General features: G+C 44.1%; 1 protein-coding gene across 14 annotated transcripts in view, besides 4 other annotated features; it reads left to right on the top strand.

Moving 5' to 3' along the window:
- The window catches only part of UXS1 (UDP-glucuronate decarboxylase 1), a 100,991-nt gene that overhangs the window by 9,524 nt on the left and 63,580 nt on the right, over positions 1-27,887 (top strand). For 5 of the 14 annotated variants that reach the window (NR_165308.1, NM_001377504.1, NM_001377507.1 and 2 more), the window contains exons 2-5: positions 18,695-18,722; positions 19,979-20,042; positions 21,068-21,111; positions 26,660-26,720. Coding sequence is in view for 10 of the 14 variants with exons in the window: in NM_001377504.1 (NP_001364433.1) it covers positions 18,695-18,722; positions 19,979-20,042; positions 21,068-21,111; positions 26,660-26,720 (197 nt within the window). In the remaining 4 variants the exon portion in view is untranslated. Of the gene's footprint in view, positions 1-18,694; positions 18,723-19,978; positions 20,043-21,067; positions 21,112-24,140; positions 24,776-25,395; positions 25,634-26,659; positions 26,721-27,887 lie in introns of those variants that run through there. The other 9 variants (NM_001377505.1, NM_001377508.1, NM_025076.5 and 6 more) reach the window with 5 other exon arrangements.
- Positions 9,067-9,176: a silencer, noted in NCBI's record as "silent region_11845". NCBI's record gives its function as "represses an Ori minimal core promoter by ATAC-STARR-seq in GM12878 lymphoblastoid cells {active_cell/tissue: GM12878}" and the evidence as "EXISTENCE:reporter gene assay evidence [ECO:0000049][PMID:35858748]".
- Positions 19,188-19,707: an enhancer, noted in NCBI's record as "NANOG-H3K27ac hESC enhancer chr2:106781527-106782046 (GRCh37/hg19 assembly coordinates)". NCBI's record gives its function as "activates a minimal SCP1, AML or CMV promoter by ChIP-STARR-seq in primed H9 embryonic stem cells {active_cell/tissue: H9 hESC(primed)}" and the evidence as "EXISTENCE:reporter gene assay evidence [ECO:0000049][PMID:30033119]".
- Positions 23,441-23,530: an enhancer, noted in NCBI's record as "active region_16338". NCBI's record gives its function as "activates an Ori minimal core promoter by ATAC-STARR-seq in GM12878 lymphoblastoid cells {active_cell/tissue: GM12878}" and the evidence as "EXISTENCE:reporter gene assay evidence [ECO:0000049][PMID:35858748]".
- Positions 23,541-23,600: an enhancer, noted in NCBI's record as "active region_16337". NCBI's record gives its function as "activates an Ori minimal core promoter by ATAC-STARR-seq in GM12878 lymphoblastoid cells {active_cell/tissue: GM12878}" and the evidence as "EXISTENCE:reporter gene assay evidence [ECO:0000049][PMID:35858748]".

Raw genomic sequence — 27,887 nt, 5'->3', positions numbered from 1 at the left:
AATGTTTGTGTCCCCTGGAATTCACATGTTGGAACCTAATCCTTGAAGTGATGGCATTAAGAGGTGGGGTATTTGGGAGGTGATTAGGTCAGGAGGCAGAGCCCTCATGCATGGGATAGTGTCTTTGTAACAGAGGCCCAAGGGAGTTCATTCCTCCCTTCCACCATGTGAGGATACAGCAAGAAGGCACCGTCTGTGAATAGGAAGTGAGCCCTCACCGCCAGTGTCTTGATCTTGCACTTCCCAACCTTCATAACTGTGAGAAACAAATTCCTGTTTATTAGCCACCCACTGTGTAGTATATTTGTGATAGCAGCCTGAACATGGACTAAGACAGCTGAGAAGTCAAGAACATGTCTGATGTGAAGTTGGAGAGCTTTCACAAATAGATATGTTGAATAGGTGAGGCCAGTTACCAGATTCTTCATGTGTACTGAACCCACATTAATGTCTACTGCAAATTTCTTGTCTTGCTTTTTGTCTTACAAATATGACAAGTCCTAGGAATTACCTGAAGGGTAAATGTGGGGAGGATTAATTCAGGGTCAGCCCTTTTCTTTTTCTTTTTATACTTTTATTTTTTTCTGAGATGGAGTTTTGCTCTGTTGCCCAGGCTGGAATGCAGTGGTGCGATTTTGCCTCACTGTGACTTCTGCCTCCCAGGTTCCAGCGTTTCTCCTGCCTCAGCCTCCTGAGTAGCTGGGATCACAAGCGTGCGCCACCACGCCCGGCTAATTTTTGTATTTTTAGTAGAGATGAGGTTTTACCATGTTGGCCAGGCTGGTCTCGAACTCCCGACCTCAGGTGATCCACCCACCTCGGCCTCCCAAAGTGCTGGGATTAGAGGCATGAGCCACAGTGCCTGGCCAGATCATCCCTTTTCTGAATAAAGCGGTCTCACCCTATCACGTGGTGCAAGCTTTCTAACCTTCTGTTTCAATTTTTTTTTTCCATTTGTAAAATGAAAATACTCCTTTGCCTTGCAGGTAAAAATAATTTGTTTTAAATACTGTGAGGAATTGAAGGGATTTCTCTAAAGAGCTGATAACTTCACTTGATGAGCTTCAAGGGAAAAAAGGTGTGGGTGTGTGTTGTAAAGTAACCTGCAACATGGAGGGACTCCTTCCAGGCAGGAAGGGCAGTGACGGCCAGCAAGTGGGAACTTCTCCTCTGAGGGGGGCTGAGGGTTTCCTCATCGCCCTGCATTTAGAAGGGCCAAGAGTGAATTTGGAGTTAATCCATCAGTTTCTTTTTGGTTAAGCTTTTTAGAGTTGCTGTAACCAAAATAAATAAGTGAAGTAAAGCAACAGCAGAAAACGTTTGAACTTCAAAGCAGTCTTTTTCAGAGGGAGTCTGGATGTGCTAGAAAAGGAAAACAATTTTGTTAGGGTGGTGAGATCTTGGAATGTTATTCTTAGTATCTTTGAATATTTTTATAGTATTTTTAGAAATTGAAAGCAAAGCCTGCTGGTTCTAAGTTAGAATTTGGTTGACATATATACTGGGGGTGACCTTGCTTTTTTTTTTTTTTTTTTTTAAAAAAGACTTGAGCAGGCAGCTGGGTTTTATCAGCAACAGAACATTGGTGGTGTAGGATGGCTTGGTTGTAACCAAGGGAAAGAACCAAGTTATTCTGACACTCATCAAAGGGGCTAGTGATGGCTCTGGTGGAAATGGCCATTAGCTGTGAATAATGGATCCTCGTAAACAGGGCTTCTCAGCAAAACTCATACATTGCCAAATCAGGATCTTTTTCTTTTTTTCTTTTGGTTTCTTTTGCTGTTCTGTGGAATTTAATTCTGATTCCCTGCTCCCTTACCCCAGTGCATCCTAATTATTTAAAAAACAGAATTTCTATCCTAGGTTCTTAATTCAATGAGAGGACCCCACTATCCCAACGGAAGCGCTCTCTGCCCTCCTTAGGCTTCACCTTGCCTGCGTTCCCACCCCACCCCCACCCACCAGTGTAGATGCTGAAATGCAGCCCTCATTTTGGGCAGGAGAAGCAGCACCCAACTATCCTGCAGTGAGGCGTGAAGAGGGGAGATGTTCTCTCCATTTCATAGGTGGGGAAACTGAGGCATGGAGAATGAGCCCAGAGCACTGACAGCCCTCTGGGTTGGGGCACAGCTGTGGTGGCTGAGGATCATGCCCGTGGGTGCTGTGGTTTGGAGATGGTCCTCCTAGATCCCTCTCTCACCTTCTTTCCCTCTCTGCCCTTTTTGAACACAAAATGAAAAGGCTAGCTTAAAACCATTATTAAAATTTTTTAAGCTCCCATTTGAAAATTACAAAATACAGGAGAAATGAGAAAACAAGGTGCTCAATGTGGAAAAGCTAGAGAATGAAGTGCAAAGAAGAGAAAAATCCCAGACCTCATAATTTCTGCATATTAAATTGCCTTCCCATCCAGAAATAGCGCCTAGCTTTTCTTTACCAAACTTGTTCAAGCCACTGCCCGCGGGCTGCATGTGGCCCAGGACAAATTCATAAACTTTCTTAAAACATTATGAGTTTTGTTTTGCTTTTTTTGCTCTTCAGCTATTGTTAGCGTTATATGTGGCCCAAGACAATTATTTTTCCACTGTGGCCCAGGGATTCCAAAAGATTGGACACCCATACTTTAGATAGACCTTTCTTTTGGCCCTCAGCAAAGTTTTGTAATTTCTTTCTTTTGTGAAGTGTATTTCCATCAAATTTCTCTTTCGCATTCATTCTACATCAAGATCAAGTATCAAATATATTACTAACAAAACTTCTTAACAGTAAGCAATAAAATGAGCCCTGAAGTCATAATCCATCTTTTAAAAAAATTTCTCCTTTGCCTTTTGCATTAATCCTTAAGTTGTATACTTTGTTCCCATCTTCTTCTTAACTTTTAGAAAGTGCCCTACTTTCAGAAAGAAATAATAGAGCTTTACATGTTACGTTGGATCCCAGCGTTAGCACTCCTAGGTTTCTTAGATCATAGTAGTTCCTCCTAAAAGTCGTGGTGAGAAGTCTGAATTTACTTTTTCTTCTTAACTAGTATGGATTTTTAAAAAAATTTATTTATTTTTTTTGAGATGGAGTCTCACTCTGTAGCCCAAGCTGGAGTGCAGTGGCGCCAGATTGGCTCACTGCAACCTGCCCTCCTAAGCTCAAGTGATTCTGGTGCCTCAGTCTCCTGAGTAGGAGACTACAGGCGCACGCCACCATGCCCGGCTAGTTTTTTGTATTTTAGTTGAGACAGGGTTTCACCATGTTGCCCAGGGTCGTCTCGAACTCCTGAGCTCAGGTGATCTGCCCGTCTTGACCTCCCAAAGTGCTGGGATTACAGGTGTGAGCCACCACGCCCCGCTTGCCCCAGCTTTCTTTGCCTTAGGCATTCTAAAAATAGATTCATTAACGGTTATTCTCAAACCTAATCGGTGGTGCTCGCTGGAGCCTGCTGAGAAGGGAGCATGTGCCGGGAGCTGGGGCCTGTTAGCAGTTTTCAGAGAGAGATGAGGTTCCAGAGCCCCGCCCTGAGCCAGGGACGTGATTGGCAGCGGGGAAGAAGAGTACAGGGCTGCTGAGGGATGTGCCTGTAAGGATGAGGGCCCTGATGCTTAGCCTCACTGGTGACAGGTGTGGGAGGGATGAAACTCCAGTGACCTCTCCGCAGCCCACCCTGTGGGATGCCCCCATGAACTAGGAGGGATTCCCTCCCCTTGGTTTCCCTCTTTTTCTTTAATGTATCTGTTCGTTCCATCAGAAAACTAAGGAGATTCATTCATTTGGTAACCTTAGGGAAAGTATATTTCATTTTCCATTGTTATCGTTTGAGGTAAAATATTGTCACATATCCTTAGGTGGAGCCTACATCTCTTTAAGTAGAAAAAGGCAAAAGAAATAGCATGGTAACATTTTCTACCATGCCACACCAGGCATCATTGATATTTGCGAAGTTGGGAGGAGAGGAGGAAGGAGAGTCCACTTCTTTGTTGTCTGTAGTAATTTGCAGGATCAAAGTCCATTTTTGCTTTCTGGAGTTCAGAAGTGGTCTGGAATTTTTCTATTTCTTTCTCCCTATTCTCCCCAAATTTGATGGTATCCTCTGGTATTTCAGATGAAGAGATGTTTTGTGCTTGTTAAATGGTGACGCTGGACTAGAACCTCGAGTGAAATGTGTGAGTGCAACGTGTTTCCAAGTTTATTGGTGTCCTGCTTCCAATGACAGAAAGTACTTGATTTTCTCAGGTGGAGATGTGCAGATAGTGTATCTTATTTCCAGCTCTAAGAATTAGTCACATAATTGTTACTGAAATACTTATTGCAGAGCTTTCTCTCTGTAGTATTTTTGCAGCCAAATCCTAAGTTGAGGTGGAGAACCTGGGAAGGTACTTGGTGGTTAAGGGTGGTTTATAATTTGGATAGTGACATGCAAGGGTCATTGATATTTTACATATCTTTCTGGGGCTTAGTTTTAATTCATAATTTTAACAGTCAAACAGTCTGGAAGTATATGGAAAGCATCGCTCCCTTCCAGCTAATCCTGTTCACCTTCCCGTGGGTTACTGGTTGTTTCCTTTGCATTGTACCATTTGTAGAATGTCTTAGGTGCTTTTAAAATGTAAATGGTTTTATGCCCTTGATTTTTCTGTGCTTTGCTTTTTTACTTTATATGTGGAGGAAATCTTTCTTTTTTGAGACGGAGTCTCGCTCTGTCGCCTAGGCTGGAGTGCAGTGGTGTGATCTCGGCTCACTGCAATCTCTGCCTCCTGGGTTCAAGTGATTCTCCTGCCTCAGCCTCTGGAGTAGCTGGGATTACAGGTGCACACCACCATGCCCGGCTAATTTTGTTATTTTTTTTAGTAGAGATGGGGTTTCACCATGTTGGCCAGGCTGGTCTGGAACTCCTGACCTTGTGATCTGCCTGCCTCAGCCTCCCAAAGTGCTGGGATTACAGGCATGAGCCACCACACCTGGCCGTGGAGGAAATCTTTCAACACAGAGATCTACCTCATGAATCTATGGTTGCACAGAACTCATTGGTAGATTTATATCATAGTGTCTTCTCATGTAAACAAAAAGAAGGCTTTGTATGAGTGGGGACTTCTAGTGGAAAATCCTGTTCCTTCAAACTGTTGTTCTTACAGCCTTCTTGAATAAGAGTGAAACCCCTTAAGGATAGAATGCAATATTTAGAACTTTAAAGCTTTACCTTCAAGCCTGTCTTGGGATTTGAAGGTCAGTCATATTAAAGTTCTCATTGTAATCTTCCATTTCCTCTGTAATGTTGAACTTGCAGAGTAAAGTAGAGAATGAATCAAACAGGGACCTTGTCCTCATCGTGAAGGTGGAGACAGGAGCAGGCGGAAGACTCCATGGTGATACAAAGAAAGGGTCTGGGCGGGCATCTGAGAGGGGGTGAGGCCGCACAGGGTTGGGAAAGATGACAGAGCCAGAGAGCGGAGAGCAGGAGAAGTGCAGGGCAGGGCCTTTGTGGAGAGGGTCAGGGGAAGAGCCAGGGTTTGAAGTCAGAGCAAGAGCGGGGGTTCAGGGTGGGGTGGGGGAGACCATGGAGGCTTCATCACAAAGGATCCTTTGGGCATCCTGTCCAGGAACATGAGCAGGGAGCCTTGGGATTGGCCTTGATTTGGAGAGGGTGCCTCACCTGTGCCTGATGCATGATGGAGCCACAGAGGGAGACTGGGCACCCTCAGGAGGAGGAGAGAGCCAGACACCAGTGACCATGCAGGGCTTTGCTGCACAGAGCAAAGGTAACATGAAGCCCTGCTCCCAAGCTGTGCCCCGTCCAGCCCACAGGGACCTGGTGCTGAGCAAGCTTTATCAACACCGCCCTGCTGTCCGTTAGAGAAAAGGCCCATTAATGATCAGACGCTGATTATTTCTTGGTCAGGAAGTACGAATGTGATAGAAGAAGCTGGAAGGCATTCTGTGGTTCAGGAAGGCTGGGGGGCACTGGGTGTGCTCAGAACTACACTGCCCAGCTTGCCGCAGGTGATGGAGGAGTAGACATAGGGCGGGGGAAAGGGGGCTGGGGGTGGGGGCCAGTGCCAGGCATCCACTAGGGTGGGGCAGGGTGTGCCCCATGGGCCCTACTCCATGTGGAATGTTGTAAAAGAGATTTGTGGAGCTGCTATATATACACACACACACTCTAACATATATACACACACACATATATACACACACATACATGTACATATACACATATATATATACACACACACACCCACTTGTATATATTTACAGACACATACATATACATAGACTTGTATATGTATACATACACATACTTATATATATATACACACACTTGTATGTATATACACACACATACATATATACATACACATACTTTTTGCCTTGTCCTTTTACATTATTTCTGTTGTTATAAAGAACATAATATAGTGGTACATATACATATATGTGGGGTGCATGCTCAACACTGATAATTGGAAGCGGGTGACCAGATTGTTCTGGAGAACTCAGAAATCTTGAACAGGAAAAGGACAAAGACTTTTTGGACAAACCGTGTAAAGACGGGAGAAGTGCCACGTGGGGATGGCATAGACAGAAGGGCCCGGAAGGAGGTGGCATGGTGATGCAGTGGCCAGGGCCCCCACGCGGCGGGCACAGAGATGGGGGACACATGGAAGAACACATTGTCAGCATCTGCCAACCACAATGGAAGAGCAGTGAAGAGGGAGAAGGGGCGTCTAGAATTTAGTAGCGCCTGCGATGGAAGAGGTTTGTACAGAGGAGTTCTTCTGGCATTTGACTCTGTTCTTTGTCTTACTAAAATGTGGAATGTCTTCAGAGGAACTGAGCAAGTGAGAACACAGGTGGGTGCCCAGAGCAGAGGGTCTCAGATTTGGGTCACGTCAGCAACACCTGGAACCTTGCTAAGGCCAGATGGCCAGACCACACCCCAGAGTTTCTGCTTTGGGAGCTGTCCTACCCCAGGCTGCAGTAACAAAATACCACAGACAGGGTGGCTTATGAGCAACAGAAATTTATTTCCCACAGTTCTGGAGGCTGGGAAGTCCAAGATGAAGGCCCCAGCAGATTCAGTATCTGGTGAGGGCCCAATTCCTGTTCATAGATGGCGCCTTCTCGCAGTGTCCTCACATGGCAGCATCCTGTACAGACTTAAAAAAGGTGTTCAAAAGTTTCTTCTTGTGATTTGCGGAAATTAAAGTAATACAAAAGTATAGGAAGGTCGTATTACCTGGTGTCCCCAGACTTCTAAAATAAACAAATACATGAATAGCTTTAAAAATGCATGTAGCTAGGCCGGGCTTGGTGGCTCACGCCTATAATCCCATCACTTTGGGAGGCCGAAAAAGGTGGTTCACCTGAGGTCTGGAATTCAAGACCAGCCTGGCCAACATGGCGAAACCCCATCTCTACTAAAAATACAAAAATTAGCCAGGTGTGGTAGCACGCAACTGTAATCCTAGCTACTCAGGAGGCTGAGACAGGAGAATCGCTTGAACCCGGGCGGCAAAGGTTACAGTGAGCCAAGATCATGCCACTTCATTCCAGCCTGGGTGACAGAGCAAGACTCCATCTCAAAAAAAAAAAAAGAAAAAAGAAAAAAAAAATGCATGTAGCTTTAAAAAGCAAAAACATTGACCCTGCTGTATGTATTATCCTCTAAGTTGTCCTTTTTACTTAACGTTGGCATTTTATGTGCAAAAAGTTGTAAAAGGTGCAGATATCATCTACAAAACCCATACTTTTAACCACCCTTTAAAAAAGGTGACATCTTGGGGCAAAATTTTTTCCCCTGGGCATATTGGTAGGATTTTATTGGGTAAGCCTATGGGAAGGTGTGCATCACAAGGGTTTTATAGCTGGATTTCAGAGCCTGCCAGCTGGGGTTGCAGAGAGCTGCTCTTTTGCCTGCTTCTGGAGACAACAAATTGGAGTTCTGGCTTCCTGGAGGGCTCAGAGCAGGGCGAGGACCACAGGGAGGTCTGATAAGCAAGCGCCCTTTGCTTTAGGCTTGGAGCATGCCGGTTGCTAGAGCCTGCTCAGGCACCCCAGATTGACTTTTTATTTGGGCCACTTTTCATCCTGTGTAACCGCTTAGAATGAGCACAGGCCTGGAAGGCTGAGGGCGGCTGCAGAGTGCTTCTCTAGTCTGGGCATGCTCCAAGGTTTAGGGCTAAGGCTCCTTCAGGTTCAGGAGTAGGCACGGCTTCCCGTTCAGCAGCTGCCACTCTTTGGTCTATCATGATGCCTGACCTTTGAGCACCTCATTCTTTTGGTGGGAACTAGCAACTGCGAAGCCCCCTCACCGCAGGGACACATCCCCCTTTCTTATTTGGAGAATTAAACACAGAGCAGTATCTTCTAATTCGAACCTTCTGGTCAGCTTAAGCAAAACTTTGAATGCTTTTCTTCTTAGAAGAATGATGCATATTCTTATCTGCTTTAAGCAAACATTTCAGTTGTGCCACCTCAGGGTTTATCCAAGGAAAGTCGAAGATTTGCCCTTTTCCAGAGTGCTAGGATGATTGGGGTTCTTCAGAGGTGAGTAAGGATGCATCTTTCCTATGTACACTTGTTTTCTTCAGATGGGAGGTGGGAGGACTGCAGCCAGGTGGGGAGCAGCCAGGGGTGGGGGGATAGGGATCAGAATTTTCTGAGGACTTCAGACTTGGCCCTTGCCTTCTACCCAGGCGGGCCAGTCTCTATGCAAAGCAGTGCCTTTGACTGGAGGAGGGCACAGATACACTTGGTAGGGCAAGCTGTGGGTGAGGAGGGATTTAGCCCTATATTTGGCTTGATTTGAGGGCTGTGACCTGGGCGTATGAGCATCAATAGATTAAAGGTGGTGACAGGTCTGGCACTGTTTTGGTTGTGGTTATGTTTCACTGCTTAACCAACCACTTTAAAACATAGTGGCAGAAAACAGTTACCGTTGTATTTATACCCATGGGCTTGGTGGATCAGGAATTTGAGACGGGGATGGCTCTTCTTTGTTTCGTGATGCCTGGGACCACACCCAGGTTAGAGCATCCACTTGCAGGGGGCTTCTTCACTGGCAGGTCTGGACCTTGAGGACAGACTCAGGCTTGGCTGTTAGAGTGCCCACAGGCAACCTGTCTGGCCTCACGTGGTCAGACTTCACGCATGGTGGTTCAGGGCTCTGAGACCAAGTGTCTCAGCAAATGTGGCAGAAGCACTGGCGGCCATCTGTGACCATCTAAAGGCATCATATAGTGTATCTTTTGCTCTTCACTGTGGTCCAAGCAGCTCAAGACCCCCAGACTTAAAAGAAGGACACAGAGACACTTCTGTCCCCCCATGCAAGGTGTGCCAGATAATTTTTGGATAGGTTTTAAAAGTGTCACTTTGGAGTATCCCTTTGGGTATAAAGGCTCCATGTAGCTTTGCTGCAAGCACTTGGCAGAGAAACTGTTTTTCAACTTAGATGAAGCTTTTCGATACAGCTCACATGTTCAGAAAAGCTTGAGAGGAACAGCAAACAGTCCAGCATTGGAATGCATGCAGCAGCAGCATTCTGGAACTTTCTCTGCCAATAATACTTTCAGTGTGCTCAAGGTGCCCTCTGTTTGTACAAGATTTCCATTTTGAATGTCTCTCTAAATTAAAGTGTTCCTGCTCTGAGCACTGGAAGGTTGGAAATCGCTATTCATTCTCCTGAAATGGGGGGCATCTTTCACATTCCAGGAGGCTTCGCTGCCCCACTGAGGATTTCATGGAGGTTGATGTCACTCAGTTTTTGTTTGAGCATGTGCCACGTGGCATTGAGGATGGGGGATTAGCTTAGAGGATGTGTTTGGAAATGAACAAGATGCGTTTCTTCCATGCAGATGGGAAGGAATCTGGAGCCCTTGACAGGTCATGCAGGCCTTGGACTGAGGCCTAACTTTTGGAAGGGTGGCCCAGGGATGGGTGGGCGCTAGCTGTGTGTCCTCAAGCAAGTCACCGGCTACCTCTTGGGGCCTGTCTTCCGCTGTGGGATGGTGGTGATACCATGACGCTGTGATTAGAACCAACATAAAAGGCCCACGTGGAGTAGGTGCTCAGTAAGCAGCAGTGATGCTGGCATTGCCACTCTTACTGGGCACGTGCCTTGGTTCTGTTACTAGGCCCTCCCCAGGGCTGTGGCCTCTCACTACGTGCGCCCCACACAGGCCCTGGGTTGCACCTCTGGCTGATGCGGGCCTTCAAGCCCCAGCCCTCAGGTTCTATTTGCCTGTGAGACATCTTCATGTGGGTTGCTACAGGATGCCCTGAGCTAAGCATGTACTTATCTCAGACCATCCTCCTCTGCCCCAACTATCTGCCTCTGGTGCTCTTATCTTGTGACATTACTGTCCTCACCCTCAGGACCGGTGGGCTCTGCCCTCTGCATTATTTACTCTCTGTTCACCTCCTCCCTCGTCCATTTGTCTCTCACACCGCTGCTTCCAGATTTGCTCAGACTACAGCACCTCACTGTCTCTTCATGCTCTGAACAGCTGTTCATTGCCTGCTGTCCGGAGCCCAGCTTTCTTGGAATAATATAAAAGGGAACACAGTGGTGCCCATATTTGGTTCATGAACAGAATCTCCTGGGGCTTGTTATGAAAACAACCATCCTGCCCATCTTGACCTTGCTGCTGCATCTTCCCCTCCCCAGGGGCCTCTGCTGGCATTGCCATCCCGCCCCCGCCCCCCCCAATCCTCTTCCTCCACCAGAATCTCCTTCTCCGTCCGTAAGTCATCCCACAGCCATCTTCACGCTACTCCCCAGGACTCAGGTGACTGCAGCCTTTACTTCTCCAGGGTGCATTATATATAGGTGGCTGCTGACCATTTTCCTTCAAGGACAAGAACTCCTTGGACTGGAATCACCTTAGTCATTCTGGTATCCCTTAGAGCAGAGGTCAGCAAACTGTGGCCCATGGGCCATATCCAGCCCAGTGCTAGTTTTTGTAAGATCCAAGAGCTAGAAAGTTTTAACAATTCTTAAATGGTTGAAAAAAGTCAAAAAGAATACTAGTTCACAGCACCTGAAAATTGTATAAAATGCACATTTCTGTGTCCTTCAATAAAGTTGTGTGGGAGCACAGCCATGCTTTTACAAATTATCTTCAGCTGTGTTCACTCTCCAGTGGTAGAGTTGAATAGCTGGGACAGAGATGTCCCACAAAACTGCAATATTTGCTATTCTGGCTCTTTTAATAGAGTTTTGTGGGTTTTTAATTTTTTTTTTGAGACAGAGTCTCACTTTGTTGCCTGGGCTGGGGTGCAGCAGTGTGATTATGGCTCACTGCAGCCTCAACCTCCTGGGCTCAAGCGATTCTCCCACCTCAGCTTCCTGAGTAGCAGGGACCACAGGTGTGTGCCACCATGCCCAGCTAATTTTTGTATTTTTTTGTAGAGACAGGATTTCACCATGTTACTCATGCTGGTCTCAAACTCCTGGGCTAAAGCAGTCCACACTCCCAAAGTGCTGGGATTACAGGCATCAGCCACCACACCCAGCCTACAGTTTTCTGACTTCTGCCCTAGAGTAGCAATTCCCAGTCATTTGGGGGAGCTTTTTAGTCAGGCTTTCAGCAAATATTTAGGGAGCACATACTATGTTCGTCTGTCTCAGTACCCTAGATAACAGCACTGAACAAAACAAAATTGTTGCTGCTGTGGAGCTTACATTTTTTTATTGGGCACAAACAGGCAATAAACAGATATAAATAGGTATATTAGCTGGTGATAAGTGCTGTGAAGAAAAAGAAAGGCTAAGTGGGCTGTTGGGGGGTGGGTGCTCTCACAGATAGATTGGTCAGAAGACCTCTTTTATAAGGTAACTTTTGAGCTGAGACCTTGGATGAACTGAGGGAGGGGGAAAGGTGAAGAGGCAGTTGGGAGAAGTGTAAGTGCAAAGGCCCTGAGGCAGGCAGGTGTGGCAAGTCTGAGGAATGACGAGGCAGATGGCCTGAGCCTGGACTCTGAACATTCAGAGAGATGGGCAATAGGTGGTGGCAGCAGGTCCCCAGATCCCTTAGGGTAGAGGTCCTCCTCCCTCGCCAGGGGTCACAGTCACCTGGGGTACTTAAAAAATACAGCTGCTGGGAGGCCTCTGTAGAGATTCTGATTCAGCAGGTCTGAAGTACAGACCTGTGGCCTGGAAGGTCCTAGATTTTATCGGTTGAGATGGGAGAATCAGATCCACACTGCTCCACCCCCAGCCCCATCTCTGTCAGTGTTGGGGCCTGCAGAGCCCTTGCAATGCTAAAAGGCAGTGTGGATTAGGAACCTTGGCTACCGGACCTCACACATTGCTTGGCTCCTAGAAGATACTCAAATAAATGTTTAAATAATTTTTAAAAAGAGACCTGCATTTGCCCTGTGACTGATGGCCTCTGTTACTGTTATTTTGGGGCATGCCTTTTCTTTCTCTGTGCATGGTTCCGTCTAGAGGCCTAGGTCTCAATAAAGGGGTAAGTCCTCCAGCATCTAGCCAGTGGTGGCTGCTCCACCTTTTATTGCAGGAATGGGGGCACACTGTTTCCCGTAGTCTGAGGTGGATCCACCCCGCCCCCCACTGCTTGTCACCCAGCCAGGCCTTTGGGAAGGGTTCTCCACGCCCTCTCAGGGGGTCCTCCCCATACATGCTGCATTTCCATCACAGACCCCATGTCGCCTCTGGACAGTAAAGCAATGTGTGCAGGGTCTTAACTTGTGCATCCGCAAGCGCTGAGTTTGTTGAATGAATGGGGGATGGAGGAGCAAGGAAGGATTTTAGGAAACATTGGAAAGAAGGCAAAGCCTGCATGAGGACCCCGCAGCCAGGGGCTGCCTGATTTCACTGAGCATCCAGCAGGCTGCTTTATAGGATGTCATACTATAAAGAAGGGCGTGCCTTACATACAGTGTTACATAGATAACGTAGGGTAGGAGAGCAGTCTCCCTAAATCACACTTTCTTCCTGTGACTTAGTGTAAAAGTACATATGCTTTCCAGTTTGAAATAGTGATCGGAATGACTGAGAAAAACATGCTAAAGCATACTGTAGCCATTTAAAATGGACAGGTATAAAACGGAAATGGTGATTTTGCCTGATCCAGCCTTGTAACATTACTTGAAATAGGGCCATTGAAATTGCTACCCAGATCTGGATTCCTGGTGAAGAATCTGTACTTTCTGTGTGGCCTGGCATTCAGGGACTCAGGCTATATCCCTATTCTAAAACAAATGTGCCTCTTAAAATCCCGGGCTTTTATGGATTCTGAATTGATGGTTTTTCATTTGTTCGGGGTCTTGAATTCATTGGAGGACCTTGAGACCTGTGAACACACAATTTCACATGTGCTTTCACATGAGACTCCCCTCTAGTCTCCCTGAAACCCATTCAGGGATCCATGGAGATCCACAGACTTCAGATTGGAAGACTGTATTCTAAAAGGATTGATCTCATGATAGCTGATGACTATTTAAGAAATCAAGTTAGACTCAGAGATTATGAAAGTGTTGGGTTAGCATTTGAATTTTTTCTTTGTTGGAAAAGGACACTCATTTTAATCATATCCTTTAAAAAACTCAATTTTTCACTCTAAATGAAAATTTTTATGAGTTAGATTTTCTTGAACTGGGTTCCCTGCATAGCTTGAAGTCTGGATACCAACATAATGAGAACTATGAAGCTGATATGCCTCAGTTTACATACAAAGTATTTTTTAAATTTATATTAAAAATTAAAATATCTTGAAAGCTGTGTAAGAGCATTCAGTTATAAGCCCTTTGTCAATAACTGAATAATTATCTTTCTTAAAATACTTACTTTACTTAATATTGATTCCTGGTACTATATAAATGGGTTTAATTCAGTTCAAATATTTGTAGAGTGCATCTGTTAGTAATGCCCAGCTATCTGTTTGAAGCACCGTAAGGTGGGTCAAAATAACTCAAGCAGGTTGCAAAAACTTAAAAGCAATATTAATTTAAAGTAATGTTTAACTTTTAAGGTCTATGCCCTGCAACCTTCCAGGCTACTCTACACAAAACTAAAGCTTCATAATTGTTGGAAATTGCTTGTGTCTTTCCCTTTGGAATCTGTGCAGCAACGTGGGGGTTTGTCCTGCTTTGCTGTGTGTGTGTGTCTGTTCTTTGGTCTGGGCTGGGTATTGAATTATCTCTCAAGCAAAGCAGGTAGAGCTTTTGATAATTTGAAAGGAGGCCACAACACTTGACATGAAAACATTGTAAAGATTAATTGGTTATAGCGCGTCTGAAGATAAAAAGTAATAAGCAAGAGATAAATGTAAGAAAAGGGAAAAATTACTTGGCATGCATTCAACGAATTTTAGTGCTTGGACCATGTATGCCTGGTGTAACAAATGTAAATATGAAAACGCCTCATCTTGCAGTGAGACCCACCTGTAAGGTACCAATTAGAACAAAACATGCAGCAGACCTTGGCCACACAGGAGGGCCACCAGTGTCTCCTGGAGCAGGAGGGAAGGTTGAAGGTGCTTTCTGGAGAATCAGATGCTCAGATGAGTCTTGGAGGTGCAGGTGCCCAGGACACTACCTGTAGACGAGCTGAAGGGTTGGGGACAGCAAGTGGTTTAGGGAAGGTGGAGAGTCACATGCAGGGGGCTGCTTGCAGGGGCCTGCTCTGGAGGTCTGAGTGGCGAAGCGTGGAGGTCTGAGTGGGGAAGGAAGGGATTCATGAAGCCTCCTTTGCAGCATGAATCAGGAGGTGCAGCTGGGGAGGAGAGGGCACGTCTCCAGGTGCATCTCCAGCCTCCAGGGGCAGTGGAAGAGGTCTGAGACACAGAAGTGGATCTGGTCCATATCTGCTTACATCCATTCTTATCCATTTATGAAGGGTGGTAAAGCTTTGGCTGTGGCTTGGACATCATTCCCCAGGGCTGATCCTGGGAAGCATGGGCGTCACCTGCTTCCCCAGGAAGAGATGATTAAGGAGAAGCAGTGGGCAAGGGGAAAGGGCTCAGGACATCATGGTCAAGGAAACAGAAGGTGTCTGGGATGGGTGGCAGCCTTCACTGCTGTGAAATGGACTGAGGATAGAAGGATTGAGAGATTTTTGTGAAATCAACTTTTTTTCTTTTTTCTGAGACAGGGTCTCACTTTTGTCACCCAGGCTGGAGTAGTGGCGCTTTCTCAGCTCACTGCAGCCTCAACCTCCTGGGCTCAAGCGATCTTTCTGCTTCTGCCCCCGCCATGTAGCTGGGACTGAAGGCACAGGCCACCACCCCTGGCTAATTTTTTGAGATGGGGTTTTCACCAGTTTGCGCAGGCCGGCCTCAAACTCCAGAGCTCAAGTGATTTGCCTACCTTGGCCTCCCAAAGTATTAGGATTACAGGCACAAGCCACCGCACCAACCTGAAATCAACATTTTAAAGTGAGTTGAAAAAAGGTTTGAAAGAAAAAACTGAAAAAGCAAATAACGATGGAATGATTTGAAAAGTCTGCCAAAAGGTGCTACCCACCCAGAAGGCAATAAGAGAATGGATGCTTCCATAGCATGGAATACTTATTCTCAGTAAAGCAGCTTAATCCTGTAGCCAAAATGAGACAGTATACTTATTTGAGATATATAGCACAGTAAAGAAAAGCGCACATGGGTTGGGCAACTGGTGGCTCACAGGTGATCTTTGTGGACTCTGGTGGCAGCAGTGCGTGGTGTCCGAGCTGAGGACTGACCCAGGTGTTCACCAGGTGTCTAGAAAAAGGCAAGAACAGGACAACAAGGACATAGAGTTTAGTAAGGGTTAAAATCTCTTCCCTCCTTTTTTAAAAGTAACTAAACTTTTTTAAAAGTAAGTAAACACTTAACCACAAGGAAAATTAAACAGTTACTCATGTCACCATTTAAACTCAGTATTTTGGAAATTTCACAGTCTTTTTTTCCCAATGCATTTTACAGAAGTGAGAGTCACACTGTATATATACTTTTTCGTCTGGTACTGTCATAACTGCATCATGTTACAGTGTAGTTCCGTGGTCATATTTAATGGCTTTCTGATTTCATCAAATGGCTGTATGACAATTTATACAGCAATTCTCTAATTATGGGATATTTTGGCTTATTCCTTTTTTGTGTGTGTGATTATAAATAAGGCCATGACATTGGTGAGGGCACTTTTCCTGTATGTTTACTGATTTCCTGAGAGTAAGATAAAAGCAAAATCACATGGTTCAAAGGTATAAGTGTTACAGGAAAGGGGTCCCGATCCGGACCCCAAGAGAGGGTTCTTGGATCTTCCACAAGAAAGAATTCAAGGCGAGTCCTTAAAGTGAAAGCAAGTTTATTAAGAAAATGAAGGATTAAAAGAATGGCTACTCTATAGAGAGGTCAGTTCTGAGGGCTGCTGATTGCCCATTTTTATGGTTATTTCTTGATGATATGCTAAGCAAGGGGTGGATTATTCACACCTCCTCTTTTTAGACCATATAGGTAACTTCCTGACGTTGCCATGGCATTTGTAAACTGTCATGGCGCTGGTAAGAGTGTAGCAGCGAGGACGGCCAGAGGTCACTCTTGTGGCCATCTTGGTTTTGGTGGGTTTTAGTCAGCTTCTTTACTGCAACCTATTTTATCAGCAAGGTCTTTATGACCTGTATCTTTTTTGTTCTTGAGACGGAGTTTTGTTCTTGTTGCCCAGGCTGGAGTGCAATGGTGTGGTCTCAGCCCACTGTAACCTCCATTTCCAGGGCTCAAGTGATTCTCCTGCCTCAGCCTCCCAAGTAGCTGGGATTACAGGCATGCGCCACCATGCCCAGCTAATTTTGTATTTTTAGTAGAGATGGGGTTTCACCATGTTGGTTAGGCTGGTCTTGAACTCTTGACCTCAGGTGATCTGCCTACCTCTGCCTCCCAAAGTGCTGGGATTACAGGTGTGAGCCACAGTGCCCGGCCCATGACCTGTATCTTATGGTGACTTCCTATCTCATCCTGTGACTTATAATGCCTTAACAGTCTGGGAATGTAGCCCAGTAGGTCTCAGCCTCACTTTACCCAGCTACTGTTCAAGATGGAGTTACTCTGGTTCCAGTGCCTCTGACATAAGCAGTTTTTATTTTTTTTAATGAATAATGAATCTAGTTAATAGCTTTATTTTAATTTCTCCCATTTCCCTGCTTTCTTGCCACTTTTATTTATTTGGTCATATATTGCTGTCTTTTTTTTAAACCAAGTTTTCTCCTCTGTTTGAAGAGAGATGTGCTTCTATGGAATTAGCAACATTCCCCTTCTTGAGAGTGGGAATTTCATGTGGGGGTGTAGTTTGGATACTGAATCCTATTTGATGAGTAGCTATTAAACTCCTACTACACACAAGAGGATGGCAATGGGAAGATGCCTGGGGTTATGAGATCCTAACCTCAGGGCCTTCCCAAGCTCACAAATTTAACAGCCCGGGACAGGGAGGACGTTTGTGTTTAATCTCTCTGTTCTTCCTCGGCACCTGGAAGCACCTAAATGCACCTGGCACTTAGAAGGCCTTCAGTATCTGCTGAGTGGCCACATGAGGGCCAAATAGGAGTGTGTACAAAATATTAGGACCGCCTATGCTCAGGAAAGGCTTCCGTAGAAAGAATCCTGCTCAGTAACTTAAAGTGAGTGCTCATGGTCCAGTATTACATTTTAAAGTCATCTGCTGTTGATTCAGGGCTGACTTATACACATTTACTGAAGGCCAGCTGTATACAGGCAAAGGAGAGCCTGCCCACCAGGTGCCTAGAGTATAGAAGGGAGATGTGGTAAGTGCTGAGAAAGGATGGCACTCCCGTTGGAGTTAAGCCGCACTGCAGGCCACTGTTTAACCTCTCTGGGTTTGCTTTCATCATCATTACAAGGGAGAGGTTAGACTGAACCTTAGGACTTCTTTCAGACATGTGATTATTTGATTTTTGTGACTAGCTCTTCCTCAAACAAAGGTTGAGAACATACTGTTTATCAAAACACATGCATCCTTAGCTAGGTGTGATGGCGTACGCCTGCAGTCCCACTTACTCAGGAGGCGGAGGCGAGAGGATCACTAGAGACCAGACTGGGTAATAAAGGGAGATCTGTCACTTGGAAAAAAAAAAAAAAAAAAGCTTCACCTGCACTGTCCAACTCTAGACCCCAAAAGAGGTATTCCAAAACTGCAGGGATAGATAGAAAAGAAAAACAGCTCAGAGCAGTGTGAGCCATGTGAGGTTTGCAAAATTTATCAGGCTGGAGAGTCATGAGCACGGAACTAAAGTCATGCCCTGCCATGCCCAGGGCCGGTTCTTTAAAGGTATTTTGTTTCTGCCCAGCTGCCTCAACCAATTATCTTTTTCCTGGGATTTTTGATACAAAAAACAATATATGGCCAATCAGTAGCTTATGTTATTTTAATGTAAATTCTTGATAACTTAGAAACTGCCTTTTCCTTTAAAAGCCCACTTGTCACTGCTGCTGATGGGAGCATATATTCAGGGCAACTTGAATTGATGTTCCTGGGTTGCAGTTCTCAAACTTGGCCTGAATAAACTCTACGATCCTGTTTTTACTTATTTTGTAGTAAGATTTAATTGTTTTGAAAACAAAGTATGCATTTTGTTGTCTTCGTAAGTTAATTTTCTTTGTAAAATTTAAAATATTGGTTAAAATTTAAGATTCCATCCATTGGAATCCCTGAAAGTTGTGGACTTAAACATTGACTTCCTTTTTTCTTTCTCTTACAGCTGTTTGGGGCAACTTCGTTAATATGAGGTAATTGTTTTTAATTACTTGGGTACTGTGGTTGGATTTTATAGACACATTTCAGTTGGTACATATATACCATGGATGTCATGGGTTAATTGAAAAATATTTTTAAAACAAAAGTGGGTTCTTGCTATTCACATATCTGAGCTGTTTCTTTTCTCCTATGGGTATTCTCAAGGAATGCAGCTGATTTTAACAATTACCAAGTAAGGCCCACAAGTAAAACAATGGTCGGCCACCCCCGCTTCCCTCCTTGTGTAGATAATAAAGGGTTGACCCTAGCTTATGTAAATTGTATTTCTGGGTGGATTGAGCAAGAACACTGAGGGGCTTTTGCAAAGCCTTCTGAGAAGGGAGCTGTCTTCGGGAAGCCATGGCAGGCCCATGACCTCAGGGGGCCAGCTAGTGGGTATCGATGCAGAGACCACCTATTTAGTCCAGCGTTAGGCCTGTATGCATCGTGTGTGCTTCTTCATAGGGCAGGAGGCACTCTTGTAAAAATAAAACTCGTGTTATCTCTTTACCAAATAAAAAAAAATAGCCTTTAAAAAAATCAGCAAAAAGAAATAAGCACTTATTGTAAAAACCATTTGGTACTGTTAATAGTTTTCCATGTAAAGGAAAATTTGCTCCACTTGGTTATGTTGTGAGAATCACTATTGTGATGATTAGGTTGGTATTGTAATGTAATGCGGCTGCACATGTCTACCAGGGTAAAAGGTTACTATGCCCTCAGGAGGCTTTTCATGTGGAGTTGGGTTTTGCAAGGTGGGTGGGATGGTGTCGATTTGATTCCTACCACCAGGGCATGTGTGTGTCTCCTGACAAAGGCTGCTGTGTATGACTAGGTGGGGTGCTCAGATCCCTTTTAAAGGAGCTCTGTGGTTTTACTTAAAAGACTCCATTTTTACATTAAATCCCCAGGAAAGCCCAGCAGGCACAAACACATACTCCTACAGACGCACTTCCTGCTTCAAATTTAAAATCCTGTGTTGGATGTAGCATAGCAGTGAGATTATTTTAGTTTAGTGGAAATAATCCATTAGGTAATACTGAGCATGTTCACAGATGGATTTAAGGGGAGTCCTTCCCTTTGGTTGTCTTCTTTTCCTCTGGTGCATCCCTTCTGGAGGGAATTGTACACATGACTGATACTTGAGCAGGAGACAGAGGTGGTCTGCATCCGTTGGGTTATGTTAGGGTAATTTATTCAGAAACAGTCTTAAAGTCACAAAGCCTTTCAGTTGATCTCAGTTTTATAGCTTTCTACTCAACAGGTCTATCCAGGAAAATGGTGAACTAAAAATTGAAAGCAAGATTGAAGAGGTTAGTCTTTTTTCTATTTTTGTATCTATTTCATCTGTATACTTGTCAATTTTACTTCCTTTGCTCGTGCTGTCATTCTTATTGTGGCAGCTTGATGCTGTTCTGTGATTTTGCAACCGTGTCTCAAAAAATTACTCCCTTATTTAAGAGGACATGCAGTCTGTTACTGTTGGTCCATTTTTGATGTATTAAAACAAATTCTACCTCAAAGGCAAAATGGATTTAGACTTTTACATGACTTTTCAGGTAAGCGTTTTTTAGAGAAAGGGAAGTGATTGCCTTTGGGAGATAGAGATGAGTACAAACATCCTCTCACTGGCACAGGTGCTGAAAAGAACAATGGCCACCAATCGGATGCTAGGCCACGTGCACAGATGGAGACGTTGCACACCCACCCAGCTGAAGGCTAGCACCTATGCTCAGTTATGCACCTCCTATTTAAATACATGTAGATACAGCCAGACCGTTGTAACATGGGCTGTGGGGGAGGGGATGGGAGGTTACTTACTTTGGATTTGAAGCCAACTTAGGGAGTCCTGGGAAGCCCTTGAGTTGCTGTCTTTCTGCCTGAGTCCACAGTGTCTACAGACGTGGATGTAGGTTGACTCACAGCCTGCAATTTATGTGCTGCAGCTGATAACATGAGTATACACAGTAATTGCAGAAACAAGATGTTAAGCTTTTGTGGGCCATGCTTAGGGGATTGTTCCTAAAAAGAGATGGATAGTGTTGATCTGTTTTTATGAGCCTGAAACACCTTTTACATTCTTCCTAGTAGGATGGGTGAGCAAAAACATTAATTGTCTCAGAAACCGAGGCATTTATGGAGTAAGAGTTCAAATGGACAGTTTATCTGTTCAATTCTAGCATTGTGATGCAAGTGGTGTATCTTAATTTCAAACTGGAAGTTAATTTGTAGAAGAAATTAAAACCTGTTTTGCCTTATCTGAAACATCAGAATGGGGTGAAAGGGGTTGAGAACTGTGTTTTTGCTTTAAAACTGATTTTTGTTATTATTGTTCTAGATGGTTGAACCACTAAGAGAGAAAATCAGAGATTTAGAAAAAAGGTATGTGTACTTTTTGTCTTAAAGTCAATAGTTAAAATAAGTTTGTCTCAATTGAGTAATTAATTCTGTTTGTTTGCTCCAAACTCTGCCAACCTAAATAAATGTCTGTATACGCATTTCCCCCACTTTGAGTGTAATACCCAGATAGAACATGGGGAGAAGAATCAATCTAGATGTGTTAAGATCTTCCTTCTTCAAACTCTGAACGTCTGAATTTCTGCAAATTTATTACATAGAAGTTGAGGCCAGGCCTCACATTTTCCTTGAACTTCTGCATATATTGATCAGTGGGATAGAATTCCAAAATAGGAGGACAATCCAGTGGGCCTGAAATGTACCATATGCAAACACCACAAAATAAGGATGTGGAGCCTATGGTGTGTCATGTGTAGTCATTTAGCTGCTTTTGTCACCAGAGTTCATGAGGAGGTTTCCAGAATTTAGTCCAGGTGAAGTGAGAGGGCAGAAGAATTATGTAATATGATAGAAATGTTTATTTGAGTCAGATTTCGGAGAGAACCCCTCCTCACCCTTTGGGACACTATTGCCCTCAGGTTCTCTCTCAGGCACTCCCGAGGCCGCTGAGCCTCAGCCTCCAGGACTTTCCTCTTGCACGTACTGTATGTGGAAAACTATCTAGAGTAGCAGTTGAATCTTCAGAAATTTTAGAAAGAAAAATGACAGCATTTATTAAAGTTGATGTGATTTTTTCCCCTTATTGGGATGAGTTTGGACGATGTGTGTCAGCATTGAATGAGCCTTTTATCAAGTCCAGAACAAAAATGAAAAAATGAAGAGCAGTTTTCCTTTGATTTTCATTAAATGATCGAAGGGAAATACGACTGGAGAAGAGTCATTAAACAAAATGTGTCATTCACTTGATTCTTATCCTCAACTGAGCAGTCAAGCAAACTGTTAATTTCAGCACTTATCAGAACAAAAGTTGTCAGTAATTTTTAACAGATTCCTTAGTAATATAAGGTTGTTACTTGTGCTTTAAATTTTTTTTGCCATGATTCTGTGCTTTAGTTATGCAGCTTGTAATATTTCCTTGGATGGGAGCCAGAAAATCTGCCTTTGATAAGACAGCAGAATTGAGAGATCTTAATTGAAGCTTTTTTTTTCTTTTTAGAAAAATTGGAACAATAAGAAATAACCCACCACACATTTTCTATATTGGTCTAAAAACTTGTCCACCAGTGATTATTTTCTTTAGACAATAGAATTTATTTATGAAAAGAAAAATGTCTCAATTCGATAACTTCCCTAAGGCAATAGCTTACAAACAAGAGCTCTCAACATGTGAGAATTATGCAATCTCTTTGATACTTTTGTGATATCTTTGAGTGTGTGCTTTTAAACTGGATGGAGAAGCACAAATAAGAATTCAATCCTAAGAATTTACTAATAATTTATTCTTGTCAACCTGTGAAACCGCCTTGAAAATAGTGGCAAAGGGCAAACATTTGCCTCTCGGGCTGCTTGCAGGTGACTCATTCTGGAATGGTTCCGTCCTTCAGGTTGGTCAGCAAGTCAGGTGATCCGCGTGCCTGCATTACTGTGTCAGAAGGTCAAGCGTAGGCCTGGCTAAAAAAGCGTGACGGTGGAAATTGATGGAACTCCGTCTAGCTTACTTTTCCTGACTCAGTGTGTGATAAAGATGATCAAACAACCATCTTGACACTGACAAGATAAGAATGTAACTGGAAATAGGTTTACTTGACGTGCTTGTCACTTTGAGCAAAGTGGCCCCCAAGAACTAAAGATATTTTTGGAAGTTACAGGTTATATTTGTACAGGGAAAGAAAGAAGACAGTGTCATTCTAGAATCCTGAGTAAATGGATTGTATGTGGGCTTTTTCTCTTTTACCACACTCCCATTGCTTAATACTTTGATTATATGCCATTTGTTTAATTTTAACTCTGTATCTTTAAATGTTCTTTGAATAGATGGCAAATGATAATTTAAATTCTAAGTAAGAATACTGCTTACTGGCTAAACAGTAAGTTTAATCTGGAATGGCATAAAATATTAATGATTAGTAAAGGACTAATTTGGGGTTGTAAGGAAAGATTTGTTACCTCATTCTGCCTCTGCTTGCTGGTTTCTCTCTCGCTTAGGAATGCAGGCCTCATGCCTCTGCTGCATTTTGCTGCTTAACCCCCAGTGCCTAGTGTAGAACGGAGCTTAATGGAAAGTTCCTGAATAAGTGGATGAGCCAGTACACTGGGTAGGATTTTCACCTGCTACAGGTCTTTAAGAAGCCTTGTGGGCCAGGCACGGTGTAATACCAGCACTTTGGGAAGCCTCGGCAGGCTGATGGCTTGAGCCCAGGAGTTCGAGCCCAGCCTGGGCAACATAATGAAACCTCATCTCTACAAGAAATACAAGGCTGCAGTGAGCTGTGATTATGCCGCTACACTCCATCTGGGGTGACAGAGTGTAAGACCTTGTCTCAAAAAAGGAAAAAAAAAAAAGGCCTTGTGCTCCTGCCCAGCCCTGAGTCAGTCCAGCAGGTGCTTGGGAGCACCCAGGCAGCTGGCTCAGCATGTGGCCCAGCCAACGGCACCCACATGGTCACTGCACTCTATCAGTCACTGTGCTCTGTCACCCATTACTGCAAGGAGGAAAACAGGATGACATGCATACTGAGGAGGACCCCACAGGCACTCTCCCCTTCCTGTTTTTCAGCTTTGTATGTGTGGCTTCTCGAAGAAGTGAGGAGTATAAGATAGTTTTTTAAAAGTTTAATTACTTGAGCGTATACATATGAAATCTAAAACTTGGCTGCTACATATTGAAGAAGAACAAAGCAAGAAACTCAACCTATTTTTCGTTTTTTAAATTAAAGGTTTCAGCACGCTGCATTTGAAGTATTTTTTAGTCCATCTTATGCCCGTCACTGCGTATGTCGGGCAACCATGCCTTTGCTTCAGTTCAATTTCTTTGAAGTACATTTCCTGTAATAAAACGGTTTGGCCGTTTCCTCTTGGTATAAGTAGCACACCACATTTCATTTTAAGCTTTCAGATAGGGACTATTCTAAGCTGACAGCTTGGATTAACATTTGTTTCCATGGCCCCGGATGCACACTCCACAGTCCTGCGCCTCCGCTCCTCACTGAATTGGTTTTCTCCCTGCACCGCGTTTTCCCATATGTAGCTATATTCCCATTCCCGAGCGGTCTTGACTCTAAAATCATATACACGGTAGAGAAGGAGCCCTGAAGGTGAGTGAGGGGAAGTCATGAGTCAGAGACGGCTCCAGCGTTTTCACGACAGACAGTTCGGAGGAGCCACGGTGCTTATGAGCAGTCGTGGGAAGGAAAGAGTCTCAGCTGTGCCACGGCACTGGGTGTGCCACTTGGGGACTGAGGCTGAAGACATGGATATCGTGAGCTCAGAGAAATGAGGACAATTGGAGCGGTGTGAGAGGTGCACACAAATAACTCTGAGATTTACAGTGCCGTCCCCTAGCTGAGTTGGTGAGGGAAGAAGAGGCGGAATGACAAGAAGTGTTACTTGGCAAACAAGACATCTGTGCCGCTCCCGCCAGTCTAACAGCATCGCTCCTGACTGAAGGCAGAACTTGCTCCTGCTCCCCAGCTGCATGGATGACTTTCCTGAGGCACTTCCTATGGGCGGCAAGTACTAAAGACGGTCGGTGAGCTCACAAGGGGGAGCCCCAGGGTTCCCACCCTTGCCCTCAGACTCTCCCATCTGATTTTGTAGTCTGCAAGGGGAACTTGAGCTTTTGAGACCCTGGAAGTTCTTAATGGGGGAATTCGTCTGCATTGTAATAGAAAGCCCTTTCACTCCAATTTAAGCACGCTCAGGGCTTTCTGGAGATGAGAAACCCCTGCTTCAGGGGCTTCTGTCTAATGACCCTTCATATTCCCTTCAGTTCAGCGACCATTAAGGAAGTGCATTCTGTATCCTAGTGCTGTGTCTGTGCTGGGGACAGGGCAGGGATGGAGACGGTGCCACCTGGCACAACACCTTTCCAATTAGTATAATGACCATAAAGCTGATGTCTCAGATTTTATTTAAAGCACTTTTGTTCCTAACTGAATAACTTTTAAAATGAATATTTCAGTTCTGTGTTTATTACCTCTCACTGGACGTTTTATATTCAGATCACACTGCCCTGCTCCTGGGACATCAGTGTGGGCTGGGGACCAGTGGCACCTTAGGGCAGCAAGAGGGTATCAAAAGATAAGTGAGACTTAGGGTCAGAGCAGATCCACAGAGACAGAAGATGCTGATGCTCAGTCGTTTTACCAGGGACGCTGGTCAGGAAGAGGATGCCGTGATTGTGAAAATTCCTGGAGCAGGAGACAAAGTTTCATTAATATCTCTTCTCGCTCTTGTGGAGCGGTCCTCATGCGTTGGGCCTGTGACTTCACGAAGCTGCTTTCTTCCACCTGGACCCTGATACAGTACCCAGAGAATGCCATGATTATAGCCCGGTGGGCTCTTCTTGCCGACTGCCCTGAGAAAACCAAGGCACTGAGAACAACAGGTGTTACAGCGAAGAGAGAGTTTAATCACAGGGCCAGCCACGTGTGAGAATGGGCGAGGTTTCTCAAATCTGCCTCCCTGAGAACTCGGCGGCTTGAGTTTTTAAGGGTAGTTTGGTGGGTGGGGGCCTGGGGAGCTGAAACGATTGGCTGGGTGTGAAATCATGGGGGTGTCTAAACTGTCTTCAGGCAGCTGAATCAATTCATGGAAGCCAAGTCTGAGGACCGGGTGACATCTCTTAGTCTGTCTGCCAAAATGCTAAATCTGAAAGATACCTCAAATACCGTTTCCTTAGGATTCACAATAGTGATGTTATCTGTAGAAGTTGTTGGAGAAGTTACAAATCTTGCGACCTCTGTTTGAGTGACCCTGGGGCAGGAAGCAACATATAGAAAAGCCAGCTAAGCTAAGCAGTTGGCAGGTCATTGTTTATGCTTATTCTTTAGCAAAGTTCAGACCCTACCATAACTCTAACCTCGGCTTAGGAATGTGGCTTCAATCTCGAAACAAGGAGGGGGGTCAGTTTTCCTTGCCTCATCGTTTAACTATAAATTCCTCTCCTAGTTATATTGGCCTCTGCACTAAAATAAGCAAAAACAATAAAAACAAAAATTGAGCCTGTGAGGTTAGATGGAGCCAGTCATATTAGATTTCTCTCATTATTACAATTCTGCAAAGGCAGTTTCACGGCCATCTCCCTCATGGTGTGGTTTTATCTGGACTAATAGAGGTAGTGCCTGCCCTGCTTTAGCAGCTGCTGGAAGCCGGTAGCTCCTTGCGCTTTTGCTTCTCAGAGATAGAATCTCAAGTCACGTCTTTAGCTTGATTCTAAACAAGGAGCAGGTTATATAGCTCTTGACCTCAAGTTAACTAGTGACTCCTTGGTTTCTCCAGCACTCATTCAAGAGTGGAGAGAAGAGCAAACAATAACAGTCCCAAAACCTGGCACATGCTTTGATGGTAGACAGAGAAAATATTCAAATGAGATGTTTGACTTTTTCCTTTTGAATCTCTTTATATTATACAGCTTTACCCAGAAATACCCACCAGTAAAGTTTTTATCAGAAAAGGATCGGAAAAGAATTTTGGTAAGTTTGCACACCTGAATAGTATTTGTAATATTAAGAAACTTTCTTTTTTCGTTGAGAGATAATTCACATATCATAGAATTCACGCTTCTCAAAGATACGATTCAGTGGCTTATAGTATGTCCACAGAGTTAGCACCGCATTCTGATTCCACAGTTTCTTCATCACCCCAAAAAAGAGTCCTGTACTCATTAGTAGTCACTTCCATTTCCCAGTCCCCTCCCGCCAGCTCTGGGAAACCACTAAAACTACTCTCTATCTCTATGAATCTGCCTTTTTTGAACATTTCGTCTGAAAGAAATAATGTGATATTTGATCTGTCTTCAAGACTCAGCTGTAGCATCAATCAGTACACTTCATTCCTTTTCATGGCTAAACAATGCTCCATTGTATGGGTGTACCACATACTGTTTCCCTGTTTCTCAATTGATGGGTATTTGGAGTTGTTTCCACCTTGAGGCTATCGTGAATAATGCTGCTATGAATGCATGTGTGTAAGTTTTCGTGTGGACACAGGATTTTCATTCTTTTAGGTATACTTTGGAGTGGAATTACTGGATTGTATGGAAACCCTGTGTTTAACTTTTTGAGGAAGTATGAAATTTGAGAGCAGTGGTTTTTAACCTTTTCTAGCTCACAGACCACTTTGAAGAATACCCAGGGGTATCCTTGGCTAATAGTGCTCTTGTTAAACATCAGTATAAACTCACCAATGAAAGAAACCCTTTTAACTATTAGGTAACAAATTATGTCCAAAAAGATTTCATGTTGCATTTTTTTTAAAGTAACAGCTTTATTGGGATATAATTCACATACCATACAGTTCACCCTTAAAATGTATAATTCAGTAGTTTTTAATGTATTCACAGAGTTGTGCAACCATTACCACATCCAATTGTAGGCCCCCCCCAAGGAAAGCCTATACCCATTAGCAGTCACTCTCCATTTTCCCCTTAGGCCTTCCACACCCCAATCTCTAGGCAACCACTAATCTGTTTTTTGTCCATGTAGATTTGCCAATTCTGGGTATTTTATATAGGTGGGATAATGCAACATTTGACCTTTTGTGACTAGCTTTTCTCACTTAGTATGTTTTCAGGTTTTGTTCATGTTGTAGCTTGTATCAGTATTTCATATATTTTTATTACCAAATAATCTGTTATATGA

The sequence above is a fragment of the Homo sapiens genome, chromosome 2 (genome assembly GCF_000001405.40).
Source record: "Homo sapiens chromosome 2, GRCh38.p14 Primary Assembly".
NCBI lineage: Eukaryota > Metazoa > Chordata > Mammalia > Primates > Hominidae > Homo > Homo sapiens.
This window is presented reverse-complemented; position numbering and strand designations above follow the sequence as displayed.